Source organism: Homo sapiens, chromosome 8, assembly GCF_000001405.40.
Source record: "Homo sapiens chromosome 8, GRCh38.p14 Primary Assembly".
NCBI classification, from domain to species: domain Eukaryota; kingdom Metazoa; phylum Chordata; class Mammalia; order Primates; family Hominidae; genus Homo; species Homo sapiens.
The window spans coordinates 133,490,238-133,503,502 of record NC_000008.11 but is presented as its reverse complement, the minus strand read 5'-3'; the positions used below and the strand labels follow the sequence as shown (position 1 = coordinate 133,503,502).

Here is a 13,265-nt window from a genome sequence, read left to right as displayed (position 1 = left end):
AGGGAGGGCCTTCAAGGAGGGGTGGCGGAGATGGGGCGGAGGGGGAGCAGACAGTGGATCCTAATTGTTACAGGCACTGAATCCTTACAACAGCCCCAGAATGTAAGGATGCTTATTATCCCTGTTTTGCAGATGAGAAAACTAAAGTTCAGAGATGAAATGGCTTATCCATGGCCACTGAGCTGCAAAATGGCAGAGCCTGAGTGGAAGTCGGCTCTCCTGACTATCTACTCAGTTCTTACAAATCAAACGTTTGTTGGGGGGCGTTAGAATACTTGCAAAAGGAACTCTGTGTTTGTCAGCTTTGCTGCATAACAAAATCTTCCAAGCTCAGTGACTTGCAACAGGTGTTTATTTCTTGTTCGTTACAAGTGAAAATGCTGTGGGTAACCTGCAGGTCAGCTGTGGCTCAGCAATGCTCTGTGAATTTTCTCAGTTTAAGGTCCAGGGTGAAGGTAGTCGCTAACCAGGACATGCTGTCCTCTAACCAGAACTGAAAGAACTACTTAGTCAGATTTCAGCTTTCTGCTCAGAGATGGCACATACCAGAACTGCACACACTCTGTCAACCAAAGCAAGTGACATGGCCAAGCCCAATGTCAGTGGAGCAGGGAGGTATACTGTCTGTCCTCCCACAGTGAGAGGTGGAGGCTGCTAGAAGGGGAATAAATAGTTGCATAATGCAGTTGGCCACACTGGGCTCTGCAGACAGATGCCTGGGTCTGACTCCTATCTCTGTCACTTAATAGTTGTAGTCATATGGCCTTCAGCAAAGTGCTTGACCACACTGTGCCTCAGCTTCCTCAACTGCAAAATGGGGATGATAATTATAGTCCTGCATTAATTTGCTAGAACTACCATAACAAAATATCACAAACTCGGTAGCTTAAACGACAGAAATTTATTTTCTCACAGATCTGGAAGCTGGAAGCCCAAGATCAAGGTGTCATCAGGGTTGGTTTCTGATGAGGGCTCTCTTTCTGGCTTGCAAATGGCAGCCTTCTAATTTGTCCTCACATGGCTTTCTTATGTGCATATGGTGAGAGTGCTTTCTGGCACCTCTTTTTTTTTTTTTTATAAGGACATCAATTCTAGCAGATTAGGGCCCCACCATTATGACCTCATTTAACCTTATTACCTTCCTAAAGGCCTTATCTCCAAATACAGTCATCTTGAGGGTTAAGGCATCAACATATGAATTTGGTGGGGGTGTGGGGGACGGTTCATTCCATAGCAAGGGCCAATTCTGCAGGGCTCTTGTGATGATTTAAATGGGTTAGGACAGCGTCTGGCCTACAGGCAAGCACTGAATAAGAGCTAAGCTGCTCTTAGTACCCCAGGGATAGCAGGCCTCACATTATCATATTGGCTATTCCCTGCACTGATAATGCCTCATTTGCTTTCTTTGTCCTTTGGCAACCTCTCCCAATTCCTGGCATAAATGAGGTGACCAGGAAATGGATGCTTGAGTCCCCCGGTGAATCCTGAGGCAGTTGACAGAAGGCACGCAGGGTTTGAGGTGCCCTGGGCTGCACTCCCTGCTGTGTTGCTGACCTGCTTGGAGACTTTGGCCAAGCCACCATCTTCTGCCAGCCAGGATGCACCTCATTAAGACAAGGCTTGTTCTGCCCACGACATCTCAGCAGATTTCATTTCCCCATGGCCTTCTGTGGCTATTCCTACGTATTGGGTAGTGCTCAGAGCCAAAGTCCTAGAGATTTTTGGTTGTTGTTGTTGTTTGTTTGTTTGTTTTGAGACGGAGTTTCACTCTTGTCACCCAGGTTGGAGCACAGTGGCACAATCTCGGCTCACTGCAACCTCCACCTCCTGGGTTCAAGCGATTCTGCTGCCTCAGCCTCCTGAGTAGCTGGGATTACAGACGCCTGCCACCACACCTGGCTCATTTTTGTATTTTTAGTTGAGACAGGGTTTCACCATGTTGGCCAAGCTGGTCTTTGAACTCCTAACCTCAAGTGATCCGCCCACCTCGACCTTCTAAAGTGCTGGGATTACAGGCTGAACCACTGCACCCGGCCAGAGAGATTGTTCTTTTACATAAATGTTCTTATAGATTCCAAATTGACAGTACTTCTCCAAACCCTCTCCCACAGCTACTGCTCCCCACCTCAAGAGAGCACCTAATGACCCTGCCGGATAGGGCTGGGCTGGACGGGCATAGGAGAACTTACTCTAGCTGCCTGTGTCTGGGGCAGTTTCTGGTTATGACTAGGAGCCTGAGTGTTTTCCTGCTCTTGAGTAGCCACCCACAGACACAGAACGACCTAGGCTTGGGGTGAACTCTTGGGATTCCATGGCAACACTGAAAAACCCTGTGTTGATTTTTCTATCCTCGCTCATGTTACCTTTCCCACATCTGGCCTTGCTTAGAAAGAACGATGTCTGAGGCTGTTTGTTTATTAGAGAGCTCTGTTAGCCGAGGAGAGACAGATTAAAGGCCGTGGGGACAGCCAAGCCTGTCCAAGTCCCCTTGCCTGGTGTGGCTCAGCCCAGCAGTGTTAGGAAGGAGAGCACCAGGTGAAAGTTCTTGGTGCCCTCCCAGCTCACTGCTAATTCATTATTTGTATGATGACTAATTCAGTGCATTTTTGACCTTCTCAGTCTCAACTTCCTCATCAGGGAAACAGGAACAAAGATACCTCCTGTGAGATGTACAGCATCTGACCCAGAGTAGAAGGTGATGATGATGATGAAGATGATGATAGTTCAGCCCTCAGGGAGCATGGCTGAGAGGCCAAGCATGCTTTACGCACTTCATATTCATTGATCCTCTTAATCTTCTTGGCAACCCTAGGAGGTGGGGACTACTATTCTTTTTCTTTACAGATGAGGAAACTGAGGCACAGTGAGGTTAAGTGACTCCTGGCAGGATGTACAGCCAGTGAATGACAGGGCTGAGAATTGGACCCAGGCTGTCTCGCTTCATAGCCCCCCACCCTCATCACTGCCCTCAGACCCAGGTGACATTAGTTATGTTAAGCTGTGTCTCCTCCCTATAACCTTCCCTGCAGTGTTGGGGAAAAGGACGCAAAGAGCAGGTGTTGCTTGTTCTGAAAAGTACTTACTTGTAATTATACTAAAAATGTCCCTTTCGAGTTGTTTCTTTAGAGAGTCAGAGGCAGGGCAGCCCCACCCTAGGCACCTCCTCCCTCCTTCTGGCCCCCGTGGGCCTCTTGGTGTGATATTAACGTCTGAGGGCCTCAGACTCATCCATTATTGATGGGGCATGGGGAGAGGGTGAGAATGAGGCCCAGGCGGTCTTAACAGCTCAGAAAGTTCTTTTTATCCCTGTCCCTGGTGGAAAAGTGCATTACAGGTGACAGGAGCAAAAGCAGCTGTGACCAAAGCTGCTGCCAGCTGTGGGTAGAGCATGATTATCATTTGTTATTGCCCTCAACTGAGCACCCTCTTCTCATTCAAGATTTAGGAAAAACATTACAACAATGACAACACCACTTCTCTGATCTTGAGTCTTAGATTCACGTCTCTCTGTTCCTTCGCAAAATGCCTAGCTGTCTGTTTCCTGCCAGTTAGAAGAATATGCCAGACTCAGAACTACCTCCCGCCCCTGCCCAGTGAGATCTGTGACCTGCCCCCAGCCCTGTTGCGAGTGCACACGCTTCCCTGGGGATGGGGGTGGGTGAGAACAGCCTTTGACCTGCAGACCTGGATTCCAGTCCCCATTCTGCCCTTGCTCCCCTTAGTACGCCGAGCTGCTCGACCTCCGAGCTTCGGTTTCCTTGTGTGTGATGGCGAGGCTGGAGCTACCCCAAGGGACTGTCATGAGGCTAAATAATGTATGTGAAAGGCCTTAACCCAGTGCCAGGCACACAGCAGGTCCCAGAAAAAGGATGTGCCATCCTCTCACTTTCTGTCTACCCCACCCATCCTCATCCTTCAGGGTTTGAGCAAGAGCCCTTTGTCCTGGCCCTCTTTGCCTCATTCTTCCCCCATTTCGGTGTTTTGCATGTTGATTAAAACTCTCTGGGGCAGGCTCTCCAAATTTAGCATTTTTACAACAGGAAGTGGTCTTAGAGATCATGCGGTTCAGAGCTTTCTGTTTGCAGTTTGGGACAGGAAGCTTCTGCACGTAGGTCCCCTGGCTCCCATCCAGTGCTCTTTAGGTGACTCTCTTCTCTCCCCACACTGAGTGGCTTGAAAGGGCTCAGAGGCTTCACATGAGCACTTAACATTTACTGTGTATATCTGAGCCAAGTAGGGAAAGAAACTGTCTCACCAATCCTCACGCCCTCTCCCCATGCTAAGTCTCCCGAGTATTTTCTTCTGTTTTTCAGATGAAGAAACTGAGGTTCAGAGAGGTTAAGAGACTCCACTGAGGTCACACAGCCGGTAAGTGGCAGAGCTGGGATTCGAACCCAGCTCTCTTTCACTCCAGAACCTGTGCTCTAAATTGCCTTGCTTTCTTTGCCTTAAAAAGGGGAGACCTGCGACTTTGTTTTCTGTTTTGATGGTACTCACACAGATTCCTGGGTTGAAAGGAGAGGGCCCCTGGGTCCAAAAATTCAGAAGGGTGGTGGCATTTGAGAAAAACATCCCCATTCCCAGTGGGTGCCGTGGCCGGGACAAACCCGGAGCTTAGGCGCACCTGGGTTCAGGATCGAGCTCACTGTAGCCAGCAGGAGCCTGGGTCTGTTCTCCCAGGAGGGTTGCTCCGAGGCCTCAGGAGCTCTAGGAACCAGACCCCTGGGACCCCACAGCAGGGCCCAGGTGCCTCGTCGTGTGCTGTGTGCCTCACATTCTGCCTCAGCCACAGAGGAGCCCGGCAGGCAGGACTCAATCTCACTCAGCACCACTCTGGATGGTTGCGTAGTTACACCGTGTGGTTTGTAGTATTTTTGGTTTTGTTGTTTTTGCAAAAGCCAAAGGAAGTCTGTGGGCTGAGTTCTACCTTCCCTTCTTTGAGGATAGTTGGTCTGCTCAGTCAGGGACAAGCAGAGCTCAGCTAGAGAAAAAAAAAACCCTCCAAACACGAGGTTGACAGATCTGAGGGCACCTGCCCTAGCTGGACACCAGCCCTGGCTGTTCATGGGCAGGGCTCATTGGAAGTTTCATTATAATCATCCCATTTTCCAGATAAGGACACTGAGGCCCAGAAACAACCACACCCCCACCTCTTGGGAGGCACAAATCAAAATGAATCTTTGCTCCCTGAGTGCTGAGCGCTTTGCTGTTTCACAGCTCACTGTCCCTGCAGTCCACATGTACTCATTGAGGGCCTACCACTGCTCCCAGCAGGCACACAGCAGTCAGGGAGTCGGATGAACTGCCTGCCTTCTGGCGGGGGAAGACAGAGGGACAGACATTCAGTCCACTGTCGAGCGCCAGTTCCTGATGAAGGCTGTGAAGGGGAATGCCACAGAACAAGTGGCAGAGACAGCGATTTTAGGGTGACCAGGGAAGGCTTCTCCAAGGAAGGCATTTGGACAGAAACGTGAATGCAGTGAGTGAGCAAGCCATATGGATTCTGGGGTAGGAACAGTTTTGGTAGAGGGAACAGCAGGTGCAAAGGCCCTGGGGCAGGGAGTGTGCTTGGTGTAACATCCCGCTCTTTGAGTTTGATTCTCTGGGTGTTTGCTCCCATACCCCACTACCATCACAGTGGCTGCTCACCTCTAGTATCCCTTCCTTAGTTACCTCCAAGTGTCTGCAGGAATGTGGCAGTGGGGTGGGGGTTGTGTAGCAAGAAAAATCCGCTGGGCATGGTGGTTCATGCCTGTAATCCTAGCACATTGGGAGGCCGAGGCAGGCGGATCACCTGAGGTCCGGAGTTCAAGACCAGCCTGGCCAACATGGTGAAACCCTATCTCTACTAAAAATACAAAAATTAGCCAGGCATGGTGGCGGGCTCCTGTAATCCCAGCTACTCGGGAGGCTGAGGCAGGAGAATTGCTTGAACCCAGGAGGCACGGAGGTTGCAGTTAGCCGAGATTGCGCCCGTGCACTCCAGCCTGGGCAAAAGAGCGAGACTCCGTCTCACAAAAAAAAAAAAAAAAAAAAAAAAAAAAAATTCCAACAAAATTGCATGGGAGAGAAGAAAGGTGTATCTCTAATAGGAAACTACTTGTCTTAGTCCTTAATCCTCTTTGCACAATTTCTGTGTTTGGTGAAGTTTGCAATGGTTTTGTCTTCTTGCTTTGCATGTGTTCTCAAAATGCCTTCTTTAACTAAGGCTGTGAGTTCACAGCACACTGCAGTCCACTGTGTCAGGCCCGTCTTTCCAGGCAGGGCAGGAATCCGGATTCAAAAACCACAGAAATAGCAGAAGAAACAGTTTTGGCAACTACACTGCTGACCTTGTGCTGAGCTCAGGGAGGGAGGTGCAGCAGGCAGACAGGGCCCAGGTAGGGGTGCAGTGGCTGACAGACCTCTGTCTTGGCACAGCCATTAGGCTCAGGCCCCTGTGTGCGGGCTCAGGTCCCTCCTTCATCACAGGGTGGTATTGGCACCAGCCTGGGGGAGCAGTTCATGGGGCTGGGTGTGCTGGAAGAGACGTGCTGAGAAGTTAGGGACCCCAGGTTCTCTCTGACTTTGTTTTCTGTTTTTATTTTGCTCACATAGATTTGTGAGTTGTTAAAAAAGAAGGGCTCCTGGGGCCAAGAACTCGGAAGAGGGGTGGTATTTGGGAAAAACAGCCCCATCCCCCTTGGGTGCCGTGGCCTGGACAATCCCAGAGCATCAGCATACCTGAGTTCAGGATTGAGCCCATTATGGCCGAGAGAGGCCCTGGTCCCCGTCTCAGGAAAGTTGCTCCGAGGCTCCAGGCGCTCTAGGAACCAGAACCCTGGGCTCCACAGCAGGGCCAGGTGTCTCCTCAGGTGCTGTGGTCTCATCTTAGTGCCACCTCAGCCAGTGTACAACCTTGGGCAAGTCACGCCCCCTCCTGGAGACTCTGAAAATGGAACAGAAAGGTGTGGTCATCTGTGTGTTCCTCTGTGATCTGGAAATGCTACAACCTTTGCTTCTAAGGCAGGTAGTAGCCAGGCATGGGGACGGGGCTTCTGTCAGCTCCCCTTTGATTTTGTAGACCTCTGGCTCTTAGCAAAGAGATGTCCTAGGAAGGAAGGGCAGTACCTTGGTGATCCTGTCTTGCACATATAGACTGGAGCTTCAGCCCATTCTCACCTCTCCTTCACCTGAGACCTGTGGCTGCAGAACCAGAAACTCATTTCCAGAAGCAGCAGAATGTCTCTCTTTCCGCAGGGCTCAGAAGTATGTATTAAGCCTTCCATTAACTGCATCTTACTCAGCTGGAAAAATAATACTCAGGATGCAATTTTATCTGATTTCTGGCCTGTAAGCTCCTGAAGGGTTCTCTTAAGAAAGGCTCAAAAAACTCCTGCGCTGTGTGACTCGGAGCCCAGCCCTGTAGCCTCCCTCCAAGGAGCAGGCAGCTCAGTGGTTGACCAGCAAGCCCATCATCATTCAGCACTACTGGGTTATCCATCTGTCCGTCTGTCAATTAAACAAGTGCTTATGAGGGCCTGGGGCCAGGGGCACATACCGAGATTACTAAGACTAAATAAGACACAGCGTGTGCCCTCCACAGCAGTTCAGGCGCAACCTGACCACTTTCTCTATTTGGTTAAACTCCAGAAAGTTCTTGACTTTATTATTCGCAGTTCAAAAGCAGCATGAGCTTTTGTGTCTGCTCCCCTTCACCCACTAAGTGTCATGACGAGCAGGCAGAACGCCCATATAGATGCCACACATGCTATGGGTTACGATATAGGACAGGAACACCGAGCTTGGGGTATCCACCATCTTGTGGCAGACAGCAAGCAAGCCAGCTTTTTGTCTCAGAGAGAAACATTACCTCATGTCTCAGGATTGGTTGCTGCAAACCCAACCCAGGTACAGAGCAGTCAGAGCCTTGCATTCTTTGTCTACCCAGCAAGATGTGTAGGAATGCAAGAAACTCATGGAGAAGTGTCTCCAAACAATGCATTAGCATTGCACATGTCTGGATTTGAATCCTACGTCTAACAATTTAAGTGCGAAATTAAGTGCGAAATTGGGTAAATTGCAATGGCTGAACTTCTCAGCCTCAGTTTCCTCTTCTATAAGATGGGGATAATGCCTACTTTCCAGGTGACTGTGAAAGAGAGTGTAGGGTCACTCGTCTGGGAACACAGTAGTGAACTAAGAAAGCCCTTGAGTTCAAGAAACTTAGTTGCACGGGGAATCCTTTCAGCTATGTATTAAGTATGCAATGCCAGTTAGTCATGTGTGTGGAAAAGAATAGAGGAGGCTGGGCACGGTGGCTCATGCCTGTAATCCCAGCACTTTGGGAGGCTGAGGCAGGCGGATCACCAGGTCAGGAGATGGAGACCATCCTGGCTAATATAGTGAAACCCCATCTCTACTAAAAACACAAAAAATTAGCTGGGCGTGGTGGCACACACCTGTAGTCCCAGCTACTCAGGAGGCTGAAGCAGGAAAATTGCTTGAACCCAGGAGGTGAAGGTTGCAGTGAGCCAAGGTCGTGCCACTGCACTCCAGCCTGGGTGACAGAGCGAGACTCTGTCTCAAAAAAAAAAAAAAAAAAAAAAAGAATAGAGGAAAAACGCAGAGGCCGATACACATCATGGTTCAGGGACAGTTGCTGCAAGGATTTGCCATGTGACCCAGCACCCTGAATTGAGTAAAGGAATGACCTTACTACCTGTGGGAAGAGCATTCTGGGCAGAGCAGATAGGCTGTGTGTAGGTCCTGTGCTTGGCCTGCTTGAGGGACAGCATGGAGGCTGAGCTGGAGTGAGCAAGGAAAAGTCGTGGAAAATGGAATCAGAGAGTAGGCAGGGACCAGTTCATGTAGGATCTTGCAGGCCTTGGTGAGAGCCTTGGATTGCATTGTGGGTGTGCAGAGAACCCACTGGAGGCTTCAGGTAGGTAGGGGCATAAGCAGAAAATAGCATGGAAGAGGCCAGGAGAGGCTGCAAGGTCTGGGATTTGCTTTTATCCTGCTGCTACTAACAAGTTAGCCTGTTAGTGTTTCATGGATCCTGGCAGAAGACATGAGATTCCTGGGTCAGGAGTGTTGTAAAGTGGGAAAGATCTCACTGCTTTTTGTGCACAAAGCCTGAGCTCAGAGGGAACTCTTCTGAGTTTGAAGGGGAATGATAACTCAGTCCATACTTTCAGAAGCTGAGCCTCAGTCAACAAATAGGAATGAGAATCTTGGAACAGATTCCAGGGCACAGTGTATCAGAAGGCTCTTATTCTCTCAGCCTGCATGTCTTACCTGCAAAATAGGGAGAACATTGCTTCCCAGGCATATTGTGGGGTCTTGTAAATAGAAATTGAATCTGAAGACCCTGTGCTTATTCTCTGCGTTAATAAGAAACAGCAAATTCTTCCTAATAATTTATCCTTCTAGGTTTTTGATTATCCCTTTTCTTCACTGAGAAGCTATTAATGTTTGCTTTGTAGCTCTAGTGCATAACACACACACACTCAGACATGCTTGCAAAATGTGCCTGCCAGCGTCTTCCTGGATAAAGGGTGGTGTTGGTCATTTAGGGGAGAAGGAGAGAGAAGAAGGTGAAAAGAGTCAGAACCCCAGAGAGGCAAGAGAAAATAGCTAGGGTGGCCTCTCTCTCTCTTTTTTTTTTTTTTTCCTGATACAGAGTCTTGCTCTGTCGCCCAGGCTGGAGTGCAGTGGCGTGATCTCAGCTCACTGCAACCTCCACCTCCCAGGTTCAAGTGATTCTCCTGCCTTAGCCTCCCGAGTAGCTGGGACTACAGGCACATGCCACCATGCCTGGCTAATTTTTTATATTTCTAGTGGAGACAGGATTTCGCCATATTGGCCAGGCCGGTCTCAAACTCCTGACCTTGTGGTCCACCTGCCTGGGTCTCCCAAAATGTTGGGATTACAGGCATGAGCCACCACGCCCAGTCAGGGTGGTTTTTCTTTAGATCATGTTTCTTCCTCCTGCCCCATTCTGTACATCTGAAGGGAGCTGAGGCTTATACACAGCATCCCCCACATGCAAACTCATGTGCACCCTCCACCCACCCCAGGATGCTCAGCCAGCTGGCCAAGCATTACAGCTGGAATTCAGATGGCGGTCTCTAGCCAGTGCTGGGCACATTCTGCCATCGCCGTCCCTAGACCTCCTGCCCTTCCAGTCTTCGTTTCTCTCCAAGACCCAAGCAGTACAGCCAGCCTTGGCAAGGCCCACCTCTTATCACTGCATTGTGGGAGGAGATAAAATGAGACTTGTGTGTTTTAAAGTTGAGCAGAACAAGATGTTTTTAAAATGCTGTGTTCCCTATGTGGGAGGCCTTCTAATGATCAGCTGGGGACAGTGCGTCCAGTCCTCCCACCCCTGGGAGGTCCCGGAAAGGACTGCAGTGTGGGATGGGAGGCACACTCCCAGTGTTGGATGCCTACCTGGTGGCCAGCTCAGACAGAGCTGGGACAGAGCTGTCTCTAGCACCTCTGGCCATGAGGGTGTTTGGCCATTCCCAGCGGTCATTCGGCGTAGCTCAGTTTATCTCTCCTGCCAGAGTCGCCTCCTTATTGGACGGAGGGTGAGGAGCACTCGTGATCACTTTGTGGGGAGAGTGGGCAGAGTAGGGCTGAGTGGAGGTGAACTCCCCCTGCCGCATGGACGCTCCCCGAGGTGGGGTATGGGCGCCATCCAGAGAGACCAGCTGAGGCCGAAAGGTAGATTCTTAGCATGAAGAGCTGGGCCTCTGGAGCCGGGCTGTTTGGATCACCTTTTATCTTATTTTTTTGAGACAGAGTTTTGCTCTGTCACCCAGGCTGGAGTGCAGTGGTGCGATCTCAGCTCACTACAACCTCCACCTCCCAGGTTCAAGCAATTCTCATGCCTCAGCCTCCCCAGTATCTGGGATTACAGGCACATGCCACTACGCCCAGATAATTTTTGTATTTTCAGTAAAGACAGGGTTTCACCATGTTGGCCAGGCTGGTCTCGGAAATCCTGACCTCAAGTGATCCACCTGCTGCAGCCTCCCAAAGTGCTAGGATTACAGGCTTGAGCCACCACGCCTGGCCCCATTTCTTCACTTTGAAAGAGAACATACCACCCCTTGGTAAAGCTGTTGAGGTCAAACAAGCAACCTAAGAGAAGTGCTGACTTGGAGCCTGGCACAGAGTTGGTGCACTTTAGGGACAGGACCCAGTGCTTTCTTCCCCAGCCATCTCCAGGACTCATGAGCTGGGGGTGCACTTGGGGAGACATCAATACTAGTATCTCAGTCTCTCCATGGTCCACGCCTCCTGACCCCCAGGGACAGGCTCTGGGAATGCCTCCTGGTCAGAACTGGCCTCTGTTCTCCCACCTGCTTGCTGGGCCTCTGCTGGTCCAAGCTGCCCAGTGTCCCCTCGTATCGTCCATCCCGAGCCTCACCAGGGCTGCCAGGCCTCAGCTGCTCTGAGCATGCCCTGACCCCGTGGTGCCGATCCTTGCCCATATGCTCCGGCCACCCATGTTTTCGCTCCTCCCACTGGACAGCTTGGCAGCCCCTGGTCAAGAGGGCAAGGTCTCCCTCCTTTCCTGACTGCTGGGCCCTTTCTGATGAGAGCTACTCTTCCTCTCCTCTGGGGCCCAGGTATGGGGGTGGGGCTGAGCCTGGGCCAGGGCAGTTTAATCCTGTGATCCAACTGGACACCGTGACACCCCTCCAACCTTCAGTGTGTAGGGATGGGATGGTTCATGCGAAATGCCTGCTGTCGCCTGACGCTCCCACCCATCCCGGAACCCTGGAGGGTGCTGCATGCCTCGCCATTGTAGTAGCTGGGTTTATAACGTGATCTTAATCCCCATTAGGGACACTGCTAGAGGCTGCCCCTCAGCTCCTTCAGGCACCTCCTGGATGCCCCTGAAAATCAGTAGCATTAAAATATTTCCGTGAAGTCACGGACTAGGGAGAAAGGGGCCTCTTTAAGCCACGTGTCAGACTGTGAATCTCGGCTCCAGAGCGGCCACACCTCCAGCCCTTCCTTTATGCTGAGGGTTTTAGAACCAGCGACAGATGCCTGAGGGCAGGTGTAAGGGGCATTAGGAGCTCTGAATTGTCTCTTCTTTATCAGCCTCCAGCACCACCCAAATGGGGGGAAATCCTTTCTTCTGGGACAGGTGTGAGCCTGGGTGCGCGCATAGTGCAACCCCTGGAATTCCCAGCCACGTTACACGCTTCTAATGTCATTTGGCTATCCTAGGACTCCAAATGTAGCACTCCTCGATCCACACACATAAGAAGATTTGTGGATTTAAATTCTTTTTGTGAGGCTATGAATATGAAAACATATTCGCCTCCTTCTCATGTGACCCTAATCCTGGTTAATCGTGTTTCTCTGGGGCACTTCTCCACACTGCCTACTCTGAGCCACTATTTGTGCTTCAGCAGAATCTTTTTTTTCCCCGACTTCCCCAGCAAAGGAACAAGCAGGAGGCACTAAGGTGCAAAGAGGAAGATTTGCAAGCACATCGAAGGGTTCTCCCAACCTGCTGGCACTGCTGGGCTGTGGGGCAAATGGGCAGGCGCCGATGCAGAAAGGAGCAGGGAAACAGGCTCCAAAGGAAACGGACTTCCCAAGTCATGCTCATGGAGACCGGGCCACTCTCTAGACTCCCACAGGGTGTCCTGTGCACCCCTCTCCAGTCCAGCCACGATGTGCCAGTTGCAATCACTACTGTCTGCTGCTCACAAGCCAGCCGGGCTCCCCTTTGCCTTCAGTCCCCAAGTCCACGTTCCTCAGGACTTCCACGATCCAGCTCCACCCACAGCAGCCCCTCTGAAGGGCGCCCTGTTTTCTGTAACATACCAGCGTCTCCATCATCACCACCATGTGCTTTTTTGGGCACAGGCCTGGTTTACCCTCCCCCTCTGCCCTCCTCCATCAGTGCTATGCCCCCTGTCTCCATGGCCACCTGCCTTACACAGCCTTCCCTCTCCCTTTGGTTGTCATTCACCTGCCACTTGTGGATCACTAAGGCCCTTGGCATCATGTCTTGGGAGGCACTGGTTCCTCCTGAGCAGATTTATGCGTGTGAACTGCCCTGGGCTAGATCCTGGAGCCGGCCTAGTGTGCGGCTTCGCTATCTAGCAGTGAAGATACGCATGCCGCCAGCTGTGTTCTTGAAGCATCGCAGGCATGCTTGGGTACCTGGGTGAGGTACGGCAGTGGAGCATGGAAGAGCAGGCTCAGGAATCGGCCCTCACCCCTTCCTAGCCATGTGACCTGGAGTAAGC

At 51.0% G+C, this 13,265-nt stretch overlaps 1 protein-coding gene across 6 annotated transcripts in view, besides 9 other annotated features; it reads left to right on the top strand.

The window, feature by feature from the left end:
• ST3GAL1 (ST3 beta-galactoside alpha-2,3-sialyltransferase 1) overlaps window positions 1-13,265 on the top strand; it is a 117,040-nt gene that overhangs the window by 68,385 nt on the left and 35,390 nt on the right. For 4 of the 6 annotated variants that reach the window (NM_173344.3, NM_003033.4, XM_006716617.3 and 1 more), the window contains one exon: window positions 4,314-4,368. The exons of the other annotated variants lie outside the window; for them this stretch is intronic. The gene's annotated coding sequence lies outside the window, so the exon portion shown is untranslated. The remainder of the gene's footprint in view (window positions 1-4,313; window positions 4,369-13,265) is intronic. 6 annotated transcript variants of the gene reach the window in all.
• Window positions 414-483: a silencer, noted in NCBI's record as "silent region_19564". NCBI's record gives its function as "represses an Ori minimal core promoter by ATAC-STARR-seq in GM12878 lymphoblastoid cells {active_cell/tissue: GM12878}" and the evidence as "EXISTENCE:reporter gene assay evidence [ECO:0000049][PMID:35858748]".
• Window positions 1,374-1,874: an enhancer, noted in NCBI's record as "H3K4me1 hESC enhancer chr8:134513872-134514372 (GRCh37/hg19 assembly coordinates)". NCBI's record gives its function as "activates a minimal SCP1, AML or CMV promoter by ChIP-STARR-seq in primed H9 embryonic stem cells {active_cell/tissue: H9 hESC(primed)}" and the evidence as "EXISTENCE:reporter gene assay evidence [ECO:0000049][PMID:30033119]".
• Window positions 2,653-2,742: an enhancer, noted in NCBI's record as "active region_28001". NCBI's record gives its function as "activates an Ori minimal core promoter by ATAC-STARR-seq in GM12878 lymphoblastoid cells {active_cell/tissue: GM12878}" and the evidence as "EXISTENCE:reporter gene assay evidence [ECO:0000049][PMID:35858748]".
• Window positions 3,172-3,697: an enhancer, noted in NCBI's record as "H3K27ac-H3K4me1 hESC enhancer chr8:134512049-134512574 (GRCh37/hg19 assembly coordinates)". NCBI's record gives its function as "activates a minimal SCP1, AML or CMV promoter by ChIP-STARR-seq in naive H9 embryonic stem cells {active_cell/tissue: H9 hESC(naive)}" and the evidence as "EXISTENCE:reporter gene assay evidence [ECO:0000049][PMID:30033119]".
• Window positions 3,883-3,982: an enhancer, noted in NCBI's record as "active region_28000". NCBI's record gives its function as "activates an Ori minimal core promoter by ATAC-STARR-seq in GM12878 lymphoblastoid cells {active_cell/tissue: GM12878}" and the evidence as "EXISTENCE:reporter gene assay evidence [ECO:0000049][PMID:35858748]".
• Window positions 4,453-4,502: an enhancer, noted in NCBI's record as "active region_27999". NCBI's record gives its function as "activates an Ori minimal core promoter by ATAC-STARR-seq in GM12878 lymphoblastoid cells {active_cell/tissue: GM12878}" and the evidence as "EXISTENCE:reporter gene assay evidence [ECO:0000049][PMID:35858748]".
• Window positions 4,513-4,572: an enhancer, noted in NCBI's record as "active region_27998". NCBI's record gives its function as "activates an Ori minimal core promoter by ATAC-STARR-seq in GM12878 lymphoblastoid cells {active_cell/tissue: GM12878}" and the evidence as "EXISTENCE:reporter gene assay evidence [ECO:0000049][PMID:35858748]".
• Window positions 6,176-6,395: an enhancer, noted in NCBI's record as "active region_27997". NCBI's record gives its function as "activates an Ori minimal core promoter by ATAC-STARR-seq in GM12878 lymphoblastoid cells {active_cell/tissue: GM12878}" and the evidence as "EXISTENCE:reporter gene assay evidence [ECO:0000049][PMID:35858748]".
• Window positions 12,216-12,761: an enhancer, noted in NCBI's record as "H3K4me1 hESC enhancer chr8:134502985-134503530 (GRCh37/hg19 assembly coordinates)". NCBI's record gives its function as "activates a minimal SCP1, AML or CMV promoter by ChIP-STARR-seq in primed H9 embryonic stem cells {active_cell/tissue: H9 hESC(primed)}" and the evidence as "EXISTENCE:reporter gene assay evidence [ECO:0000049][PMID:30033119]".